This window comes from Homo sapiens, chromosome 6, assembly GCF_000001405.40.
Source record: "Homo sapiens chromosome 6, GRCh38.p14 Primary Assembly".
NCBI classification, from domain to species: Eukaryota; Metazoa; Chordata; class Mammalia; order Primates; family Hominidae; genus Homo; species Homo sapiens.
The window spans coordinates 105,372,205-105,394,752 of NC_000006.12; the positions used below are offsets into that span (position 1 = coordinate 105,372,205).

The 22,548-nt window shown below is 40.7% G+C and overlaps 1 protein-coding gene across 3 annotated transcripts in view; it reads right to left on the bottom strand.

Annotated features, from left to right (window-relative positions):
• PREP (prolyl endopeptidase) overlaps nt 1-22,548 on the bottom strand; it is a 129,865-nt gene that overhangs the window by 98,987 nt on the left and 8,330 nt on the right. For all 3 annotated transcript variants that reach the window (NM_002726.5, XM_011535925.4, XM_005267044.4), the window contains exons 3-5: nt 5,182-5,315; nt 3,921-4,051; nt 1,165-1,374 (exon numbers count right to left, since the gene is read on the bottom strand). In NM_002726.5, the coding sequence (NP_002717.3) occupies nt 1,165-1,374; nt 3,921-4,051; nt 5,182-5,315 (475 nt within the window). The remainder of the gene's footprint in view (nt 1-1,164; nt 1,375-3,920; nt 4,052-5,181; nt 5,316-22,548) is intronic.

Here is a 22,548-nt window from a genome sequence, read left to right on the forward strand (position 1 = left end):
GGGGAAAAAAAAAAACAGAAAAGAAAGCAAGGATATTTAAAGATGACAAAGATACAACAAGTCATGATAAGGGGACAACAGGTACAGCAGAAAGCACTGGAGTAGCTGTGCTTCTTGCCAGATCCCAGCCCTCCAGCAAATTACTGAGCCTCTGTGCCCAAGCTCCTAATCTCTAACACAGGGATTGTAAAACTTACCTGTAAAGACCAACCAACATAACAAGAAAATGCTACATACCACGTTGAAATGTGGGGTAGCAAAAGGAAGAAAATGACACATTGTACCAGTAAGGTACAAGGTACATAGCCCTTCCTGCCTGGGAAAATTTAGAAGTGAAGGAGCAAAGAGGGAGGAACCCCTTGAACACAACAGGATCTTTGTGCAATTAAAGAGAAGAACAATAAAGGTGTGTCCAGAAAGTAACAAGGAGAAAAGTATCAAGATAAATGGCAACCAACAGGTGACCTATAACTTCTGATCAGAGGAGAATATGCGATTACTGTAGCAGTAAAGTTTTATAATCACTCAACATAATCAAATAGCTTGGTTCGGTTTAAAAATTCACCTTCTCCATAATCTCCTTAGGAGATATAACACATCTATAAGGGACTGATTGATTGTAATAATGATCTCATTTTTCCGCAGTTCCCTGTATCTATTTCTCCACCCATTGAAAAGGGGCTGGCCCTCTGGCTTGCTTTAGCCAACAGAATGCAGCAAATCTGACGTGCCAGGAGCAAGCCTAGGCATTAAGAAGGCTGTGTCATTCAGCTCCCCGTCTTGCAATTCTACTGAGTTGCCATGTGAGCAAGCCCAGGCTAGTCTGCTAGTCGTCCCAGCTGAGGGCCCAGAAATGTAAAAGAGCCAAGCCAAGATGAACCAACTAACCTGCAGCTGACCACAGATACATGTTAGAACTCAGCCAAGGCCAGAAGAACTACCTGGCCAACCCATAGGCTCATAGCAAAAACAAATGTTTATTATTCTAAGCTACTACATTTTGGTGGGGTCTATTACACAGCAAAGCCAACTGATACAACATCCTTTGAGGAAACATGGTTCTGGACCACACAACCTCTATGTAGGGTTCAGCATCTCTTTTCAGTCACTTGAAGTCACACTTCATTTTGTGAAAAATGTGCTTCATCTGAAGTCTTCACTCACCATCACTTTTTCCATCCTGTTGAGGGTATGAGTTGTAGAACATTCCCTTCCCATCATGGGTCCAGGCCATACAGCTGAACTTGACTCTTTCAAGCACATCTGGAAGCTCTTTGGCACCATCAACTTTCATGAACTTGATTGTCACCCAGTCTGAGCCACTGGCACTCAGACCATAGGCAAAATATTCACCATCTTCGCTGAACGCATAACCTATGGGACACAGGAGAAATCATCCAGTGACAAACACGGAACACAACTCCACGGTCCTTTATGCCATCTAACAAAGCTCTCTTTCATAACACGGAGGTAGAATGTGGCAATAAAAGGAATAGGAATCTGGTAGTGAGGAATCCCGGGGGCTCAGCCCAAGTTTTACAGGAATTACCCTTATAACCTTAGACAAGCTTCCTAACCTCTCCAGGTCTTAATTTGTCTATAAAATGAAATATTAGATTATATGCCTACTAAAATGCTTTCATTTTGAAATTTTTATAATGCAATAGGCAGTTCAGTTAAAAGCAGAGCTCATCTGGGACTTCTGTCATATTTCATTTATACTCTAAAGGGAATAAGGAGAAAAAGGAAACTGCTTTTAGAGTAATGACTGAATTATGACACATACCATATAATAGAACTAAATTGTAGTCATTAGGTAATTTGGGAGATTGATTCCAAATTATCTAAAATCCCTTGTTACAGCCTCATTTTTGAAGCATTACCTGTGCAATGTCCACACTGTCTGACCATTACAAGCCTAGGTAAATAAAGCCTGAGGGTTTGCAGTGAAGGCGCCCGGAGTGCACATTCCACAAGAAATTGTGAAAGGAAAAGCAACATGTCTATAGACTGTCGTGCCATGTACAGTCCTTTAGGGCCCTGGCAGAATGTTCTAATCACTATGGAATGTTTCCTGGCAAATACTTGTGTTTCATATTAGCTTTTTTAATTATGAAGTATGTAAAGCATTCAATACAACACCTCCTATTGGAGACTCTGACACCAGAGATTTCCTCTTAGGCTGTTTGCTAAACGTTATTGGGTAATGAAAATTTTAAGAAGCTCAACTATTATTAGAGGTTTCCTATTCTTTTACGTGGAATTTCATTTGTTTAAAATTTCACAGAACCTACTCATTAACCATTGTAGGTCCTATAAAGTATCTAGGCTCATATGTATGTAAATGCAGAAAAGAGTCTAGAAAGTGATAGGAAAAAGAAACATATTCACCTTTTATTCTACATAGCACTGGAGTGTTTGAATTGTTTATATATATATATATATATATATATATATATATATATATATATATATATATATATATATATCAGAAAATTTTCAGAAAAATTTAAATAAAACATTTTGATTTGAAAAGTATGTTTAAAAATCATATACTACAAAAATAATCTGAATGTTTACTCCTTTTGTGATAACTTCCCTATAATACCACTCTTAGAAAACTCAATGACTGTTTGAGGCAGGTCTCATGCCTAATTTAGCTTCTCGCCCATCAAGGCTTTGTCCATAGCAAACATTCCATAAAGAAGTCACTAGAAGAATGCATTATCGGGGTGGGAGTTAAGACCCTGTCCCTCTGGATGGGCTGCAAGATAGATCCTTGTGGAAACTAAATGAATTCCTATATGGGATATGTTACTTCAACAGAACCAGTGTATTAAATTCACTGAAAACTACAAGCTCAGATTCATGGAAGAATCTGAGCTGGTGATGTCTTATTTTCGATACTGGTTCGATAAAGGATCATTGTTTATATACACAGCCTATTCAGAGGGAGGGGAAGGTGGACCACCGAATGACTGGATCATGGTTAGAAGTGTTTGTATAAAAAAGGGTCTTTGCACAGGTCTGATGGAACGGGGCTCTATAACTCCCATCTTATTGATTACAGAGGACTTCAATGTCTCAATTTCTCAATTCTAGAGGGCCATAACTAATCATATGGTTTTTTCTATAAAACCAGAAGGTACTACAGGAGAAATGCTGAGCCAACGTCATCTATAACATCATTATCATTGTAGAGTTTACAATTATTAAAATACAGAACTGGAGAATAACTTAGTTCCTTACCCTAGAACTCTGCTTACTGCAGAAACCTTGGATAATCTTCTCTATGGCCTACGGAGGAGGTTATCTTAGGGGCAGAGTTAAGTAGGAGATGTACAGCAACTGTGGACAAACTTAGTCTTTAAACCTCCATCTTCAGGGAACAGGATACCCAGCTGTTCAATTTCTACAAGATTTGTGTGTTTTTACTTGTAATTCTAACATGTTGACAATTAACTAGATTTTTAAAACTCTAATCGCCTCCTTCCCAAGAGGGAAACTGATCTGATAAACATTCTTTCCTGTTTAATATTATAGTTGGAATAATCTTTGTACAGCTTAAACTTCTTATAGAAGACGACTTATTTTTTTCTAATCACAGGTAGGTCTCAGGGATGTTGGAGGAAATGATGATGATATGTCAAGATTCCAGAAGCCCTAGAAGCTAATTTGGGTCCAGTGTTAATTATTTTCCAGTTCTGCTTCATGCCATCAGAGTGGAAAAGAGGAATGTGACTATTCATGTATTCTAAATATACTGTGCAAAAATTAGCTTTCCTGATATTGTATGTGCATCTGTTCCACAATATGGTCCACACCCTGCCTGGCATTTCAGAGGTAAAGCAACTGCACTAACTTCAGAGCTCCAAGTGAGGGTCTTAGGAGTTCCACGGGCCTCTCTGTGTAGCACTTACCTCGGAGTGCCACTGTGCCATCGTCAGACAGTATGTTGGGGTCCAGGAACACTCTGGCCTCACCCTCTAAGGAATCCTGTACATATAATACTCGCTGGTTCTGCAAACCTGTATTGTAAAAATAAAAATACCTGGGGAACAGAGATGGTCTTTATTCAGCTGTGGAGTTTTCTATTTGTGGAGTAAAACCAAACACACACAAGCAAAAACCAAAACAAAACCAAAGACCTAAAAAGGTACCACTGTAATCTGGCCATCGCAGGGACGTGGGGACATGGGTGAAAGGTTCCATCATTTCTCTCTACCTAGAGCTTGTTAACAGAATTGCTTCCATATTCAAATCCTGTATTGTAATCCTGCACATTAGCCGAGTAGAGGCAAATAAAGACCATTTTATGTGTTAAAATAAAAATTGATATTCAAATAAAGCAGTAACTTTTTCTTTTAAATGAAGAAGAAAGCAGACTTTTCTAAAATAAAATTCTGGTTCTTTTCCCTAGCAAGGCTGCTAGGGTGGAAGGTCAGTACACTTTCTCTGTAAAGGGCAAGACTGCAAATATTTCAAGCTCTGTGAGCCATACAGTCTGTCACTATAATACTCAGGCCTGTAGCTGCAGCACAAAAGCAGCTATGGACAATACGTAAACCGATAAGCATGGCTGTGTCCCAATCAGACCTTATTTATAAAAATAGGTAGGCAGCCAGGGTTTGGTAGGCAGACTGTACGTTGCCGATCTCTGTAAGAATGGCAGAGGGCTGAAGAAAGTCTAAAGTAAATGTGTGATAGTGGCTCCAAAGAGATTTAATAAAAGATCAAGAAAACATCTGTAAGTGGGTGTTAACGGGACAGGAACAAGAGAAGTGAATTCACCCATTTCACCATTCTTTGACAGAAGAAAAACACAGAATTAAATGTTTCCAAGTAGTATACATCAAAGATAATTAACTTCGGAGGCAAACAAACCTCCACTGCTGTCTATGAATCATCCTATCTCACCAATTACTACCGATAAGACGACGATTTCCTATAATCTAGATTTCTTTATATGACCTATCCCTACTAAATTTCTTAACTATTATTTTAACAATTTGGACAATACCTAATAGATCAAAAATATTACTCTCATATTCAGGCATAGAAATTAATTCCTTATAATGAATTAATCTTATACAAGGACAAGTTATCTGGAATTTGTATTTTACAATTTAAGAAAGCATTTACTTTGAAAATAAAAAGGAAATTCAGTAAAAGCAGTCTCACCGTTTTCCTTTCTTGAAGTGGCAACTATACTTGGGATAATCATATAGTTCAGTCATTCTCTCTTTGTATAAACCTCTGATGGGACACTGCTCAAGAAATGGCACAGTAATCTTATTCTGGGCCTCCACAAAGGCCTGTGGAGAAATTAAAATGGACAAAGCAAGTTAAATATAAAATTTTCCATGTGAAATATTATCCACTAATATGTATCAGAAAAAGCACACTTTGTCTCTTAGCCAGTGCCTCTTCTCTCTCATTACCAGCCTCTCTCACCTCCTTACTCTTCTTCATACCTGCCCAGCTCCTGCCAAGTGACTGATTAATATGTAGTAACAACCAATGCTTACATGGTACTAACTCAGCTAATGCTTACAGGGCAAGTATTAACTTATTTAGAACTCACAATAATCCTATGGAGAAGGTCCTTTTATTAGGCCAACTTTACAGATTGGGAAACTGAGGTTTGGAGTGGTTAAAAAGTTGCCCGACATCATACAGCTAGGAAGTGGCAGATGGCAGAGTTGGCTCCCAGATCCACGCTCCTAACAAACACACTATACTGTAGCTCAGATCACACACTGCCAATAATCTGCATTTACGCAGTGCCATGGTTCCGGGATTCTTATTCAGCACCTGGCCATCCCAAGAGAAGTCAGAGTCAAAGAGAGAAAGTTAGGGATACCCAGGCGCTATTTTATCGATTTTGGCTTTGTAAGACCTACTACCATGTTAATTTCAATCAGAGAACTTTGCTAAAATTTGCAACCAAAGAACATTGAAAAAACATTGGAGGCCAGGTGCAGTGACTCATGCCTGTAATCCCAGAACTTTGGAAGGCTGAGGCGGGTGGATCACTTGAGGCCAGAAGATCGAGACCACCCTGGCCAGCATGGCGAAACCCTGTCTCTACTAAAAATACAAAAATTTGTCAGGCGTGGTGGTGGGTGCCTGTAATTCCAGCTACTCAGGGTGGCTGAGGCACAAAAATCGCTTGAATCCGGGAGGCAGAGGTTGCAGTGAGCCAAGATCGTGCCACTGCACTCCAGCCTGGGCGACACAGGGAGACTGTCTTAAAACACACACAAAAACAAAAAACACCTGAAACAAGTGGCATTGCAGAAGAATATCAGCAACATGGTTTATAAGAAAGGCAAGAGATGGCCATCAGGAAATACTGGTAGTGAAGGCAGGAAAAGGGGCTTTTACAAAAGATGAGTTGTATCCAAGCACACCCTATTTGTAACTAACCAGTTAAAAAGTTGACAATACCATAAAAACTTGGCTACTAGTAATTCACATCTGGCTATTAGCAAGAAATGAAACAAGAACATTGTATCAGCTTTAAATTCAATAGAAGATTTCATCAGATGTCTATAAATAAGTAAATCATCAGGGAAAAACTTCAGGAAATTAAGACCATAATATACTTTGAATGGCAGGGAAAAATGCATTATTATCAGAGTTCACTTTTGGATATATCATCAAACTCTAAGGGCCCATCCAAGCTCACAATGGTCTTCAAATGTGCAACAATGCTTTGGGTTCCCCTACAAAAACCACCAATCCCACTCTGCAGAACCATGATTTTGTGGTGAGACAAACTGTTCCAAAGCTCATTGATTACAATGCATTTAAAAACAAGAGACAAGGGATGTAAAGTATGAATACAGTAATTAACATTTTTGCAAGAGGACCAGTTCAAGAAAAATAAAACTGTTACAGGTCACATTTCTGATTTCATTTAAACAGAAAATAAAATTTACTGAGTCCCACAGAAATACAATTCCAACTATCACTAGGGATTGGCAATCTTCGCCCTGGCCCGCTTTCCTGTGGCTCTGGAGATCAGAATGGTTTTTGTATTTTCAAAGAGCTAGAGGGGAAAAACCAACAGAGACTTATGTGGCTTGCAACATTTAAAATATTTACTATGTGGCCCTTTACAGGAAGTTTGCTGACTGCACTTTCCCTCATTAAAAACATCAAGGAGGAAATTGGATTTTGCTTTTTAGTTATAAAATCAATGCCTATCTGAGAAACCACCCAGGGGAGCATTTTGGAGATCACCAAGTGTGTCCAAAAGCACTACTTCATTTTACAGTGGAAGAAAACACCATGCCTACTTCACAGATATGGAGATGGAGGCAAGTGGTATTAAAGTCCCCTGGTTAAGGTCATGCAGTGAGTTAGCAAAATCACTCAGAGACTGAAAAAGGATGTGGAGATGAAGCAGATCCACCCAGGAAAGAAGGAAGACGCAACCTGGGCCTCCTATGATTTTCTTCTGCATGAACTGGGCTGTGCTGGGTAGGAACATCAGGGAGCTGAAGCATCCACGTGGACTAAACACAAATCTTGTGTGTGTGTTTACACTGATCGTGGCATTGTGGATGGATAAGTGACAAGTCCAAGCTAAAATCCCTGTCATCACGGAGCTCATGCTACTGGGGACACACCCACAAAAAGCCAGAGGGTTGCAGAATGGTTGGTTCTAAGGACATACACAGGGTAATCAGCAGAGCAATGCTGCTTGATACCCAAAGTGTCAACTACAGATCAGTGTTGGCCTGAACTGTTTGCTACCAGCCCACAATGAGAAGAGTGCAGAAAACAAGAGTGAGTGCTGAAAACCTTTATGGCAATTTGACATTACTATGGCATCTTCATTATAGTTTGGAAAAACCTCAATCCACAAATGGTTTGGAAATTTACAAACCAGCCATTCCTTGCAGATCTTGAAAATCACTGGGAAAGAGGGCACCTAATTAAGCAGGGTGGTCACAAAAGCCCTTCTGAGGAGGTTTCAAATTGAGGACTGAGAGGGAGCAACCATGCAAGGTGGGGCAGAATGTTTTGGGCAGAGGAAACAGCAGGTGTGGGAGTCCTGGCAGGGGGAATAACTTGGCAGGTGTGAAGAAGAGTAAGGAGGTGAGTGAGGCTGGGAATGAGCTGAGGCCAGACGACCAGACATGAGCTACAGCAGGCGGCACCTGGTAGGCAGATATGATGTTTCGATCTCTCATCGAAGTGCAAATAAGCCATGATTGGGTAAGGAGATTTACTTTTTGAAAGATTACCGTGCTTTGGACAGAGAACAGACTATAGGGGAGCAAAAGTGGAGACAGACAGGCCAGTTAGGAGGCTGGGACAGTGGTTCGGGTGAGAGACAAGGCCAAGAGGAATGGCTGGTCTCTAAAAGGGGCAGGAACAACCATTATAATGGGAGTGGAAACAGAGAAAATGGGCACAGCACATGTTAGTTTGCAGTTTTGGCTATTTCCCAGAGGGCCTCACCAGAACATTCTAGTCAGAGCCCTAAGAAGGATTCCACACAAGACCCCAGCATGCTGAGGGTCTTGGCTGGCTCCTGCACTTCCACGGAGGGATTCTCTAAGGAGGGTACCCTGAAGATGTCATTTCCCTGATCCTTCTGATTTGCATGAGGCTGCACTTAGGCCCACGGTGGGTCCAAGGGTCAGAGGCTGCTCAACAGATTGCTCAGTTCATTTTCCTTGGAAAAGCAGAATTGTGTTCTCCAGCTGTTTCTCTATTTTGCTTTGCTTCTTTCACATGTCTCATGGTATAATTACAACTACTGCAACATAATTCATCTCACCCTGAAGCAGACACACTGGCTTTTCACATATAAAGTTTTCATAAAACTGTTATGCCAGGCATAAAAATGCTACCAAATAATTCTAGGATTAGTACATCCAATTTTGTCACCTCCTACCCACAAATGTTAGCTAATTACTTTAAATAGACCATTAAAGACTGCACTCTTCCAAGTCAAATATCTAGATGTAAAACCAGAGTGTCCAAATTCCTAAAAGTCTCAAGTTTTTTCATAACACACATCTTTATAACTCGGGCAAATCCTTTTCACGAAGGTGGTAGAAAATTTCTGTAAAGAAGCTTTGTTAAATTTAGGGTTACATAAATGCCAATAATATTTCTGATATTTTAACCAGGGAAATGCCTTCTTGGTCATTTATGTATTTAACAGGTATATCATCTTGGTTGATCTAAATATTAGAAAAAAAAATTGGGGAAAAGGGAGAAAAAGAATAAAAATAAAGAAAAAGAAAATGGAAGTGTTACATGGTGATAAGGAAGCAGGGTGAGGAAAACACAAATTCCTTGTTGTTCAAGGAGTTTCAGTACCCGCAGTCTCATTCTAGGATGTATTAAAATAACTGAAATATGAAAGCCCTGATGCACGCAGCTGAGCTTCTAAAGAGAGTCAACAGTTTAGATTTTATATCCATAGATGAATCTGAACACATTTTCCTAGCAAAGAGTAGCTGCTCAAAACTAAGAAATCTTACTTATATCTCATGTGCCTTGACTATTAGAAAGCTTAAAAGCAAAGCAAAGCTTCAGTTATGCAAGATCATTAAGTTCTAGAGATCTGCTGTACAACACTGTACCTATAGTTAGCAATACTATATTGTGCACAGAAAAATCTGTTACAAGGGTAGCTGTCATGTGAAGTGTTCGTACTGCAATTTAAAAAAGAAAAAGAAAAGCTATTTGGAAAGGGGTGGCTTAATTTGGGAGCTGAGATTCCTTTACTCCTAATGTCTTCAGAAAATTTTTTTCAAAGTGCCCTCATGTACTCTATTTTAATACACAAAATACTGCAGTCCTACGAAATAAGCCAGGCACGGAAAGATGAATACCTCATGCTCTCACTTATATGTTTTATTTAAAGGAGTCAAACTCACAGAAGCAGTAAAATGGTGTTTACCAGAGGCGGGGGTTGGGGGAGATGTTGGTAAAAGGACACAGAGTTTCAGTTAGACAGGAGAAATAAGTTCAAGAGATCTATTGTACAACATGGTAACTGCCTGAAAATTGCTAAGAGGGATTTTAAGCGTTCTCAACACACACACACACACACACACACACACACACACACACACACAAAGTATGTGAGGTAATTACACATATGTTAAATAGCTTGATTTAGCCATTTCACAATTTCTACATATATCAAAATGACGTGCTACACACCTAAATATATACAATTTTCACCTGTCAATTTGAAAAATTGACTTACGAAATACAGATACAGGCTCACTTACTGATTGCCTTAACTTTTCCCTTTCTAAATGGAAGTGTAAATTAAAAATACTGTTCACTTAAAAAAAACTCATCTTTTTACAATTCTTACATAAATGAATAAAAATTATGCCTAGAATTACTCATTAAATAAATATTTATACAAAACACTACAATGTGCACCATGGTGATTAACAAGATGAATGAAAGATAAAGATATGTGCTAGAGGAGAACAAATAAAGGGGAAGCTACTTCCAGGGCAGGGCAGGGTGGGCTGGGGCAAGTGCCATTGGCAGGCAGGCAAGACGACCAGGAGGGACTTCCAGGTAGAGACTGGCTCAGGCCCGGGTATCAACCTCCCCTCTTCTGAAATACCAATGAAAACTAAGAGTGGTGCTATCTACATCCCACAGGCTTTGAGGAGCATCTGTTACAAATAACAGATATAGGACTTGGTTAAGCAACTATCAGGGGCTTCTGGAGAAAGTGGCAAAAACCATAATCCCAGCCTAAGTGAAAGGCATGGGCGGCACACTTGGATCCCCTCTCACTTTAGCAGAATTTGGAATTTGGAAATGACTCTCCAAGTACAGGGACAGCCCCATCAAAAAGCAGCCAAGAGGCGCTCACCCTGAGGCTGTAGGACTTAGGGCCAGGAGGGCAGGACAGTCAAGGTAGGTCATGCACAAAAGAGAATTAGATGCAGCTGCTTTTCAGGAAACACGTCCAGAAATGGAAACAATAAAAGATTGGAATAATGTACTTTCCAAGGCTAATATCTATGCCAAGGAATCTCTACCATTAAAAAAAAAAAAAAAAGAGTGCTCGTAATTTTCCAGGACTTACTCAATATTTACAAAAATCAGCAGCCCATCAGACAACAAAGGGGGAATCTTAAGCCCCAGAAAGAAAAGCTTGTTCAGGTCACAGTTTTGACCACAATGCCATTAACCTCACCACATGAAGTGCTTTCTTTTCCTGGCCCACAAGCAACCCCCTACTCATTCTCAAGGTGGAGAAATATTCTAGTTCAATCAGTGAGAGCCCAAAATCTTTTGGGCTCAACTTTAACATAAAAAACCCAGAGTGGGCCCATCTCTTCTCTCTGGGACCATCTGCTCTTGGGTGAAAAGGGCTCATAGTAAGCTTCCTGCTGCACATGATCAGCAGACTAGGCGGAGCCTTCTAGAAGCCTGTCAGGCCTCTTTCCACCTCTCTGCTTGTCCCCGTGTGGGTAAATCAACTCGTTCCCTCACTGGGACTAGTTACTATCAATTAGGGAGGAAGCAGAAACCGTCACTCCGACCTGATATTCAAGCCTTGTTCTCAATACTCGTCATGACCAGGGAAAACTGAAATTTTAACCCCATTAGGCTCCATTCTTTGGTGTATACTTTCCTGACCAAAAACCTGGTGAAGAGGTGATTTGCACCTCAAATCCAAACCTAACTAAATATCTGATCGTGAGGACATTAAACACACTCATATCCTCCCTCTCCTGAATAATTCTGTATCAATGAGGAAATCCAAACTGTAACAAGATTACTTAGAAAATACGAAGAAATAAGAAAAACAAGACTATCACACATTAAGTTTCATGGGATGTGGCAAACACTGTTGGAGTTGACATCTATTTCTTTCTGGTGCCATATGAAGTCCCACTGATAGTTGGGGAAAGGGTGTGACCGCTGCTGGCCAATCAGAATGTCCCTCCCCCAGACCACGGCTGGGCAGGACCTCAAGCAGGTGAGGCTGCGGCTCATCTCAGGGCTTGCTGGCATGACTCACCCATCAGGGAGCCAGCCTCTTCCAGTCCTGCACTACTGAATTCAGGAGTGTACAGGAAGCAGGCTTGGGAGACTGAGTGCTCATGCTTGGTTATGCCAGGTACCGAAGGGCAGTGATCACACTGTGACTGATGAGGAACATCTGGCTGGAACGGTGACAGTTATACCTTCAGAAAGTTTGAGGTTTACCCTCTTTCTCCATCAGATCGTATCATCTGCAATTGAGCATTCTCAGTGAGGATTCTTGGTACCGCTCGCTTGTACCTCCATCTGTCATAGATAATGTGACAGACACCTCTGTCTGTATTCTAACTATGCTAACTCCCTTCCACGTTGTTTATATAAGTAAACCCTGTTCATTTTCATAAGCAAAGTCTTTCCATCAATTCTAACCCACAGGCAATAGTCAACAAAATAGTAATAGTAGTAAACCCAGGCAAAACAATCAGAATCCTTTTTTAGGGACAGAGATGAGTATTTGAAGGGAGAAGTTATCTCAACTTAAGACACTTGGGGCTACAAGGACTGTGAGAAACCCAAAGAGACAAGACCCATCTTTCTCTGCCACACAGGAGTGGCTGCTGGAAAAATAAAATTATCAGAGAAAAGCAGATGACCTAAGAGAAAAAGACAGGTTCCCAAAAATACCACATGCACTCCTGGATCAGACTGTGCCTAAAGGCACTTATACCCTGAACCCCAATAACGTGAGCCACTCAGCTCCTCTTTTTATGTGAGCTGGTCTGAGTTGGGATTCAGGTACCAGTAATAAAGTGTCCTAACACAGCTTTCCTTGGAAGCCTCTGGTTTTCTGAACGAGATGAGACTGGATGACCATGAGCAGGCTGGAAAGAGGAGAGCTGACCAGAAGCTTGCTCCAGGGCTGGCTGGGGATGACTGAGCAAGTTCTCTACAATAAAGGTGTTTTATGAGAAAGAATAAACTTTAAGCATTAAAATAAAAAATTTTAAAATAACAAGAGAAAATAAGAAATCAATGAACTAGAAGCTTTTAAGCATGAAACTTAGACTTCCTAGATCTGCTTTAAAAAAAAAAAAAAAAAAAGAAAAAAAGCACATTTAGCCAAAGCTCTGGCTAAACTAATCAAGCAAAGATGATGCTACAGATACTCAAATTTAGAAATTATAAACAAATATAACCACGGATTGGGAGAATAAAGTCATTTAAAAAGCATATTACACATAACTTCATGCTAGTAATTTTTAAATCTCAATGAAATGAATAATTTACTAAGAAATACAAAGGACTAAAATTGATCCAAAAAGAAAGCAGAACTGAACAGAGCAATGACTGTGAAACAAAATGGGGGGAAAAAACCCAAGAATTAATTGCAATAAAAGAACTTGTCCCAGATAACTCTAAGGATGAAGTTTTTCAAATTATCAAAAACCATAATTTCCATATTATTTAAATGGCTCAATAATGAGTGCAATGGTGAGCATTTATTAAGCACTTACTATGTGCCTGCTACTTTGCTAAATGGCTCAAAAACACTATCATTTAATGTTAACAATTATATGAGGTGGTTTTCTCCAAATTACAAGTCAGAAAAATGAGGCTAAAAAACACGACCAATTGTCAGACTGGGTGTGGTGGCTCACATCTGTAATCCCAGCACTTTAGGAGGCCAAGGCAGGCAGATCACGAGGTCAGGAGATCGAGACCAGCCTGGCCAACATGGTGAAACCCCACCTCTACTAAAAATACAAAGATTAGCTGGGCGTGGTGGCGCATGCCTGTAATCCCAGCTACTCGGGAGGCTGAGGCAGGAGAATTGCCTGAACCAGGGAGTCAGAGATTGCAGTGAGCCGAGATAGCACCATTGCACTCCAGCCTGGTGACAGAGCAAGACTCCATCTCAAAGAAAGAAAGAAAAAAACCAACATGACCAATGTCTAATAAAATTGTGGAGCTAAGATTCAATCCTGCCTTTCTACCTCTAAAGTTGCTCATTTAACAACTATACGCACTGCCTTCCTATGAACAGGCAGAGGTTCCAACATTGCTAAGGGTTCTCATTAGTTGCTAGAGGGAGCAGAGTAAAAAGAAAAGTCTGGAAGAAAAGAGACAAGTTAGGAAGTTACTGAACATCTAGCTCAGTGGCAATGTATGAGAGACCCAGGGAGGTGTTGGCACAGACAAGAGCGCAAGTAGAAAGTCATGAGATTTTATGGAGGTACAACTGGAGCTCCAGAGAGTCATGTATATGATTAAATGAAGAGCTGATTCAAATGGTCAGAGGATCTGGAAGAGTCCCAGAAATTTTGTCACATGCCTTGATTTCCCCCAATGAAAAAAATTGGAACCATTAACACTAATTTACAAAGATGCTATAAACAACAGTGAGGCATCTATTAGAACTTAGCTGCTTATGAATAGGCCCTAAAAAAAATGAAAGGTATTATAATTGTTCTTTAATCAAGTAATCTAAGTATTCCCTAGGGCAGTTTTCCCAAACTTTCTGGGTCTGAAGAATTACCTGAGGGTGAGGAATAGGGGTCTTGGAAAACAGATTTATACTGAAATCCAATGCTCCAGACTGAAGCTTCAGCATTTGTATTTTTAACAAGTGCCCCAGTGATTTTTATGGCTAAGCACTTTCTCCCCTGAACATGGCAGAATGGGATGGTGAATTAGGCACCTAAACATGGTGGGGGAAAAAAAGAAGCTAAGGCCGGGTGCGGTGTTTCATGCCTGTAATCCCAACACTTTGGGAGGCCAAGGTGGGCGGATCACTTGAGGTCAAGAGTTTAAGACCAGCTTGGCCAACATGGTGAAACCCCGTCTCTACTAAAAATACAAAAATTAGCCAGGTGTGGAGGCGGATGCCTGTAGTCCCACCTACTCATGCTACTCAGGAGGCTGAGACATGAGAATTGCTTGAACTTGCCGGGTGGAGGTTGCAGTGGAGATCTGCCACTGCACTGCGGCCTGGGTGACAGAGCAAGCCTCCATCTCAAAAAAAAAACAAAATAAAAAAGAAGTTGAGAGAAATCAGTTATCGCAGTTCTTTAGATGTTCACTTTTTAACTGCTGTTTTCCCAAAAATACCGTATCTGATGCCAGCATTTTTCACTGAAAAACTGCAGATGACTGAAACCAAAGCTGAGTAACTGCTTACAGAGAAAACAGTAACATTAAATGTATACAAGTACTTGAAACAATTCATCAATGATTTACAGTGTGCTTTTCTAAAATGGAGCTTTCCCTGATAGTGAACCAATGGGGCTGGAGTCTTCGCCTCTACAACAGCAGTGTCCAGTCTTTTGGCTTCCCTGGGCCACACTGGAAGAAGAATTGTCACAGGCCACACATAAAATACACTAATACTAATGATAGCTGATGAGCTAAAAAAAAAAAAAGAAAAAAAGAAAAAAAGAAAAAGAAAAAGAAAGAAAAAGAAAAAGTCGCAAAAAAAAATCTCATAATGTTTTCAGAGTCTATGAATTTGTGTTGGGCCACATTCAAAGCCATCCTGGGCCACATGTGGCCGGTGGGCCGCAGGCTAGACAAGCTTGTGCTACAAGATGTGGCTTGGCCTCCTTTCTGCTCCAATCTCTAGCAGCTCAGAGATCAAGTGGCATGCCCATCTTCAATCTCTGGTCCTCCCAAGCTACAAGGCAAATTCCATGCTGGTATAGGCATCTGTCTTACTTATGACACCGCATCCCCCTTATTTAACCCAATACTCAGCACAGTGGGCACCTAGATAAACTAAGGAGAGAGGAGGAAAGGTGAAGAAGTAGGAGGAAATGAAGCACATATGGAGAAAAGAGAGAGAATGAAACCTGCAGGCATGTGGCATTGGGGTAGCCAGCATCCATGCTCCCTCCGTAGCGCCCTCCCTTCTAAGTGGAGCAGGTAGCTGTGCTGCCACTACAGAAGCCAAAGAGGGTCCCTGGGGCTTCTACCAAATCTCTTCTCTTAACTGCTGCAATACAGCCAAGGGGCGAGCACACACCCACAGCTTGGCCAATCAAGACTCCTTCTGTTGGGATACCATCACTTGAAAAAGAGACGGCAGGCTGAATGACTGGAGATCAGTGAAGCCATAGCAATGCTGGGTGAAAAGTGACATTCCTGCCTGCTCAGAGCCTGGCCCTTGGTCCATTCCAAGCTGCCTTCATATCCTTGCCATAAATGCCCCATTTGCCTAACTTGCCCAGAATCAGTTTTTGCCGCTTGCATCAAAAACCGTATTACAGAAAGCAAGAGAAAGGAGATTGGGGGGTGGGGGTGGGGAGAAAAGGGAACGTAGTGATTAGGAGTAGCCCAGTACCAGCAACTTCCTCATACTTTTGACAATTATCCCATCCGGAGATCAGAAGGAAGGTGTTCCCTAAATACATATTTCACTTGTGAATTTCTGAGAAGTATGTTTACAAACTGTAATAAAGCTAAACATTCCCACAGAAGGTAGTAACACGTTTAAGACCTTAGAAGTCTTAGAGACTGAGATAATATGTGGTAAAATAGTTACTAAACACATTTCCCACGTCTACTACAGCAGGGATACATACACCAGTAATTCTCAATCCAGGCCCATATATGGGACATGAATGAATGGGTAGAAGGTGTCTCACAGGCCAGCTCTGCCAGTGGGGTTCACAAGGTATCAATTTAAAAAGACGCTACTTTAAGGCTACTGCCTTTAAGTAATCTTTGGCCTAGTTTCATCACTACACTTGGGAACAATAAAACCACACTTACAAGTCACAGTTCCAATGAAAAAACAATGTTCAGAATGTATCTTTTCATGAAAAATCTAGAATTCAAAAGGAAAATCGACTTAGTTTTGTGGATAAAAATAAAAACAGATAAGAGTCTTTAAAGTCAAACATTCTGACTAAGCAATTAGGAGACTAGAGTCAGAAAGTATGTACCCTGATACATGGAAGGTGCAATGCCCAAGCAGCACCATCTTCGTTTGACTGGAGCTTTGCTGTATATGGATTTTTACATACATTTTCTCACTTGGGTGTTGTTATAACTGGGAGCTAAATTAATGAATATTACTTTAACTCTTTATAGATGAAGAAAATGAATACTAGATCAGGTAGCTTGCTACGGTCATAGAACAAGAAAACAGAAGACCAAAGACTGCAATTTGTATCTTCTGACTTCTGGTACCATCCAGCAAATACTTCATTCCTCCACACTGCCTTGCAACAGAAGCAACATCGGAAATGCCTGCCAACTCACAGAATGAAGGAATTATCCACACAGATATCCCCAGTTTGTTATAAAGTTTTCAAAGAACACTGTACACCAAAACCAGCCTTTTATACCTGTAATTTCTGGGGATCAACAGCTCCATCAGTAAGCTTTAACTGCTGGCTTTTGGCTTAGAGACATTTAACTAACCCCTCACGTACTGCAATTTCCTGGGAGCAAGCTTCCACCCCAATGGCTCTGAAAACGTAGTGGCCAGATGGGGAAAGGCAATCAGACAGATCAGTCCCTGCTTGCCTAGCTCAGCACCAGTTCTTCCAGAGGCTGCCTCTGGATCCGGGCTAGGGAAAGCACATGATCCAGGCAGTCCTAGGCTAGACCGACACCGAAATTGACACCAGAAAGAACAGAAACTCCTCATGCTACACACTTTTAAGGTTAACCCCAGAGACCAAAAACAAAAGCAAGCAAGCAAAGAAACAAACAAACAAAAAGACTTCAGGACAGACAATGAAGGGCACCTGGGAAAGCAGACGTTTTCCTACACAAACTTTGTTCTCCGCTGATCTCTGTGACACTAAAATACCTACATAGAAATCCTAGGATTTAAATATCCTAGAGATGATCAGAAGTCCTTTAAGGTTTAAATCTTTCCTGCCAAGGAAAGAAACAGTACTGAGACAGGCGGAGAAGGTGGTGACATTTCCAGGATTCTTATCCTGCAATCCTGAAGGATTTCTGTTCTAATTGCCATAGCCTCTTAATCAGCAGGTGTAACGGGGTCACTTCCAGCTAGTCAGTGAGAGAATGGAAAGTGGGAACTCACATGTCCCAGAAAAGAAATCTACATTTATATTCCTTTCATCCTCTCTGAAACAAATTGTTATTTTATCTTATTTTTCAGAAGGAACGAATATAAATAAAAATACTTTTTTCCAATCCTGTTAGAGTTCTCTTCTCAAGGTCTGTGAAGGAAATGGAGTTGTTGTTACTCTCATTTTGCCCAGGGCGGCACTCAGGGAGAATAAGAAGTTATTAGATAAATGCCACTGATATTCTACATTTAGCTAACTCATGTGCCCAAGCTCCAGGACAGTTCTGTGAAAGCCAGACCTGACAATCAGTTACAGTTAAGGCAGCTACCCCTTGAAAGGTGTAAATTTTTCTTTTGTGTATTTCTTCTTCAGCAACTCAGTAACAACTTCTAGAACATTCAGCTAAAAGGGTGAAGACACAATAAGATGGAGTAAGATGGGGAGACTGAGATTACAAGAATATTACTTCTACTTGGACCCCTGGGTTGCAAAACCAAGCCAGAAAAGTAAAGAGAAGAAAGTATCACTATCAGGAAGGGGAGCAAATTATGCAATATAGACTACCTGGTACCACATGGGTAAAGAGGCCAGGAAGAATAAATGCTAATTTAGCATTCCCCCAGCGATCGGAGAGATGCTGCCTCCATGATGAAAGCAGTGTAAAAAAGCAGGGCTGAAGGAAGAGCATTCTCCTTGCCTGCATATCCCAACTATACAATTCTCCCTGGACATGAGGCCCATCTCCCTAGTGAGGAATATATGCTGATTTATCTAAGTCTCTGGTTTTATACACACACACACACACACACACACACTTTTTTTTTTTTTTAATTAAGAGACAAAGGCCGGGTGCGGTGGCTCACACCTGTAATCTCAGAACTTTGGGAGGCTGAGGGCTGAGGCCTCAAGTGGATCACTTGAGGTCAGGAGTTCAAGACCAGCCTGACAAATATGGCAAAACCCCGTCTCTACTAAAAATACAAAAAATTAGCTGGGCATCGTGGTGGGCGCCTGTAATTCCAGCTACTCAGGAGGCTGAGGCACGAGAATCGCTTGAACCCAGGAAGCAGTGGTTGCAGTGAGCTGAGATCGTGCCACTGCAATCCAGCCTAGGTGATGGAATGAGACTGTCTCAAAAATAAACAAATAAATAAAATAAAGAGACGGGGTTTCATTATGTCATCTCAGCTGGTCTCAAACTCCAGGGCTCAAGTAATCCTCCCATCTTGGCCTCCCAAAGTGCTGAGATTATATGTGTGAGCCACTGTGCCTAGCCTGATTTCTGGAAGTCTCTGGATTTGGCCACTGGGCCACCACTGATCTTGAAGAAAATAGTTTATGCTAATGGGAGATGTTACTGGGAGTAGTACAAAGAAAAGGGTAGTTTCAACTATATCAACAGGCATGCAGAAAGTGGCTTGTGGATAGGCAGGGAAAGAGAGGGAGAGAGCCCATGATAAAGTAAGATCTGAACAGGGCACACGCCCTAAGGGACCGGGAGACCGACTGAGAGGAAGAAGGTGGTTCAGAAGAGCTAAGGCAAAGTGTGGGGTTTGGGGTTTGCTTGTTTGTTTGCCAGGGGAAACAAGTACACATACCAGAGGGAAATTTAGAAAGGTAAAGTTTAGGAAGTCAACCACATGTTATTTACAGACTGGAGGCTCAAGTTACCAAACAACAGGGTACGGCAAGACTGCACCAAACTTCCTTCTCCAAGTTACAAAGGACAAGCTGGAAATGTGTGCGGAATGGGAAACATGGGCTGATTATTGGGACCTACTTATCTAGTCTTCAAATCTTTTTTTTTTTTTTTTTTTGAGACGGAGTCTGGCTCTGTCACCCAGGCTGGAGTGCAGTGGCACCATCTTGGCTCACTGCAAGCTCTGCCTCCTGGGTTCACGCCATTCTCCTGCCTCAGCCTTCCCTGGGACCACAGGTGCCCGCCACCATGCTGGGCTAATTTTATGTATTTTTAGTACAGATGGGGTTTCACTGTATTAGCCAGGATGGTCTCGATCTCCTGACCTCGTGATCCGCCCACCTTGGCCTCCCAAAGTGCTGGGATTACAGGCGTGAGCCCCCACGCCTGGTCTCAAATCATTTTTAGGGACTGCAAACCTCCTTCTCTGGCCCTTCATGCTAACGCTACCATGGTTACTCTGATATCCCATTTATACCAGTGAAATTACACTGTGGTAAGTGCACTTAAACAGCATATTATACTTAGTAGGAATCTGAAGGATTTCTAACTCAAAGCTTTTCCTTTACCTTACTTTTGGCGTTTAGTTTGTATTTCCATATAGGTCTCCCAGACCAGTTTTTACAAATGTAGTTTTTGTTTGTTTTTTTGAGACAGAGTCTCGTTCTGTCACCTAGGCTGGAGTACAGTGACATGATCTTGGCTCACTGCAACCTCTGCCTCCTGGGTTCAAGCGATTCTCCTGCCTCAGCCACCCAAGTAGCTGGAATTACAGGCATGTGCCGCCATGCACGGCTAATTTTTGTATTTTTAGTAGAGATGGGGTTTTGTCATGTTGGCTAGGCTGGCCTCGAACTCCTGACCTCAGGTGATCCACCCTCCTCGGCCTCCCAAAGTGCTAGGATTACAGGTGTGAACCACCGCAGCCGGCCCCATGCTGACCTGTTCAGACAGCATACTTCAGGTGTCAGAGGGGGCAACGTAGGCCTTTCCTGTGCATCTTCCATGCATACCTCTCATGCGTCTCTAAGCAGTTAATGATGCCAGTGAGTCTATCATCTTGGATCTGATGAGTTAAATTTTGGTCCCAGACTGAAAAGGTATGGTGGGTTTTTCACAAGAGCAGAAAAGCAGCATGAACATTTTCTATTCACATTATTAGCATATACACAAAGGTGTATTAGCCATACCTTGCTGTAAAGAGGAGAATCTTTACAGAGCTTCTAAAACAAAAAGCTGCTTATTACATTTCCAATAAAAACCATTCAAGAAGTGAGAAACATCTGTAGCTCTTTTATAAGATCTGAAATGCTACCAGTAGGTCTTGGATTTAATCTAGTATTTAATTTAGGTTGGCTAATTCTGACAGTGCCTGGCGTTTAAGGCTATATCCTTTATAAAACAAAACCAGAGCAGACTTGTAACAGAAAATTCTCAAAAACAGGGGCGGGGCAGGGGGTAGAGGGAGAGTTGAATCTGGATGAATCTTTTCTAGCTGTCAAGGCCCATATTGCTATTTTATAGCAAATGCTTCAGACTGTACAAGGCAACACACAATTCAGTTGATTCTCTGAAGCAAATCTAACGCTGATATGAAATATGTTAACAGAGATATTTTGTAAAGAAACAGAGGAGCAGCGCTGTCCAGTAGATACATTATGCAAGCTACATATACAATTTAAAAATTTCTAGTAGCCACATTAAGGAAAAAAAAATTAATTTCAATAATATATTTTATTTAATCCACTACACACAAATCATTTCAACTCTGTTTTTGAGAATTTTCCATTACAAGTCTTCTCTGATTTTGTTTTATAAAGGATATAGCCTTAAATGCTAGGCAGTGGCAGGATTGGCCAACCTGTATTAAATACTAGATTAAATCGAAACTCTATTTCAGATCTTATAAGAGAGCTACAGATGTTTCTAATGTCCTGACTGGTTTTATGTAATCCATATAAAATATTAAGGTATTTTACTTTTTTTTTTTTCAAACTAAGTGTTTGAAATCCAGCATGTATTTTATGCTTACAACATGTAATCAATTCAGACTAGCCACATTTCAGGTCCTCAGGAGCTACAAGTGGCTAGTGGTTATTATATTGGATAACAAGATATTGACCAACTTTTCTTGTAAATATAGTTGTAAGGAACATAAAAACAGATTAAAAATGGAATTTTATCACAGGAATTCAAGGACATTTTAATATTAATATATTAGTGAAGCTATATAATTACCCTGATTGGTATTAAAAAGAAATCAAAATCCAAAACTAAAAGTAGGAATAACAATGCTTAAACAAGATGACAAATATCATTCAAAATAACAATTTAAACACTAGGCTAGAAAGTTCTTTCTCACTACTATTCTTACATGTTTTGCAGAGCTTTGACCAATTCAATAAGACCTGAACCGAAATTTGGTAGAGGAGAAAATAATAATTGATTGTAGATGATATGATTATGTATCTAGAAAACCTAAGGGAAATAGCTGAAAACTTATTCAAATCTGTGAGTTCAAAAAAATTACTAGGTACAAAATATATAAAATAACCAAAGTTTGATAGAAGAGAAAATAGAATTATCACTAAATTTGATTATATGTTATATGATTATGTATCTAAAAATCTAAGGGAAATAACTGAAAATTTGGTGAGTTCAGTAAGGGAACTAGGTACAAAATAAATATAAAATCGGTAGCAGTAGCTAGTTTAGCCAGGCATGGTGGTGTGCGCCTGTAGTCCCAGCTACTTGGGAGGCTAAGGCAGGAAGATGGCTGGAGCCCAGAAGATGGCTGTACTCCAGCCT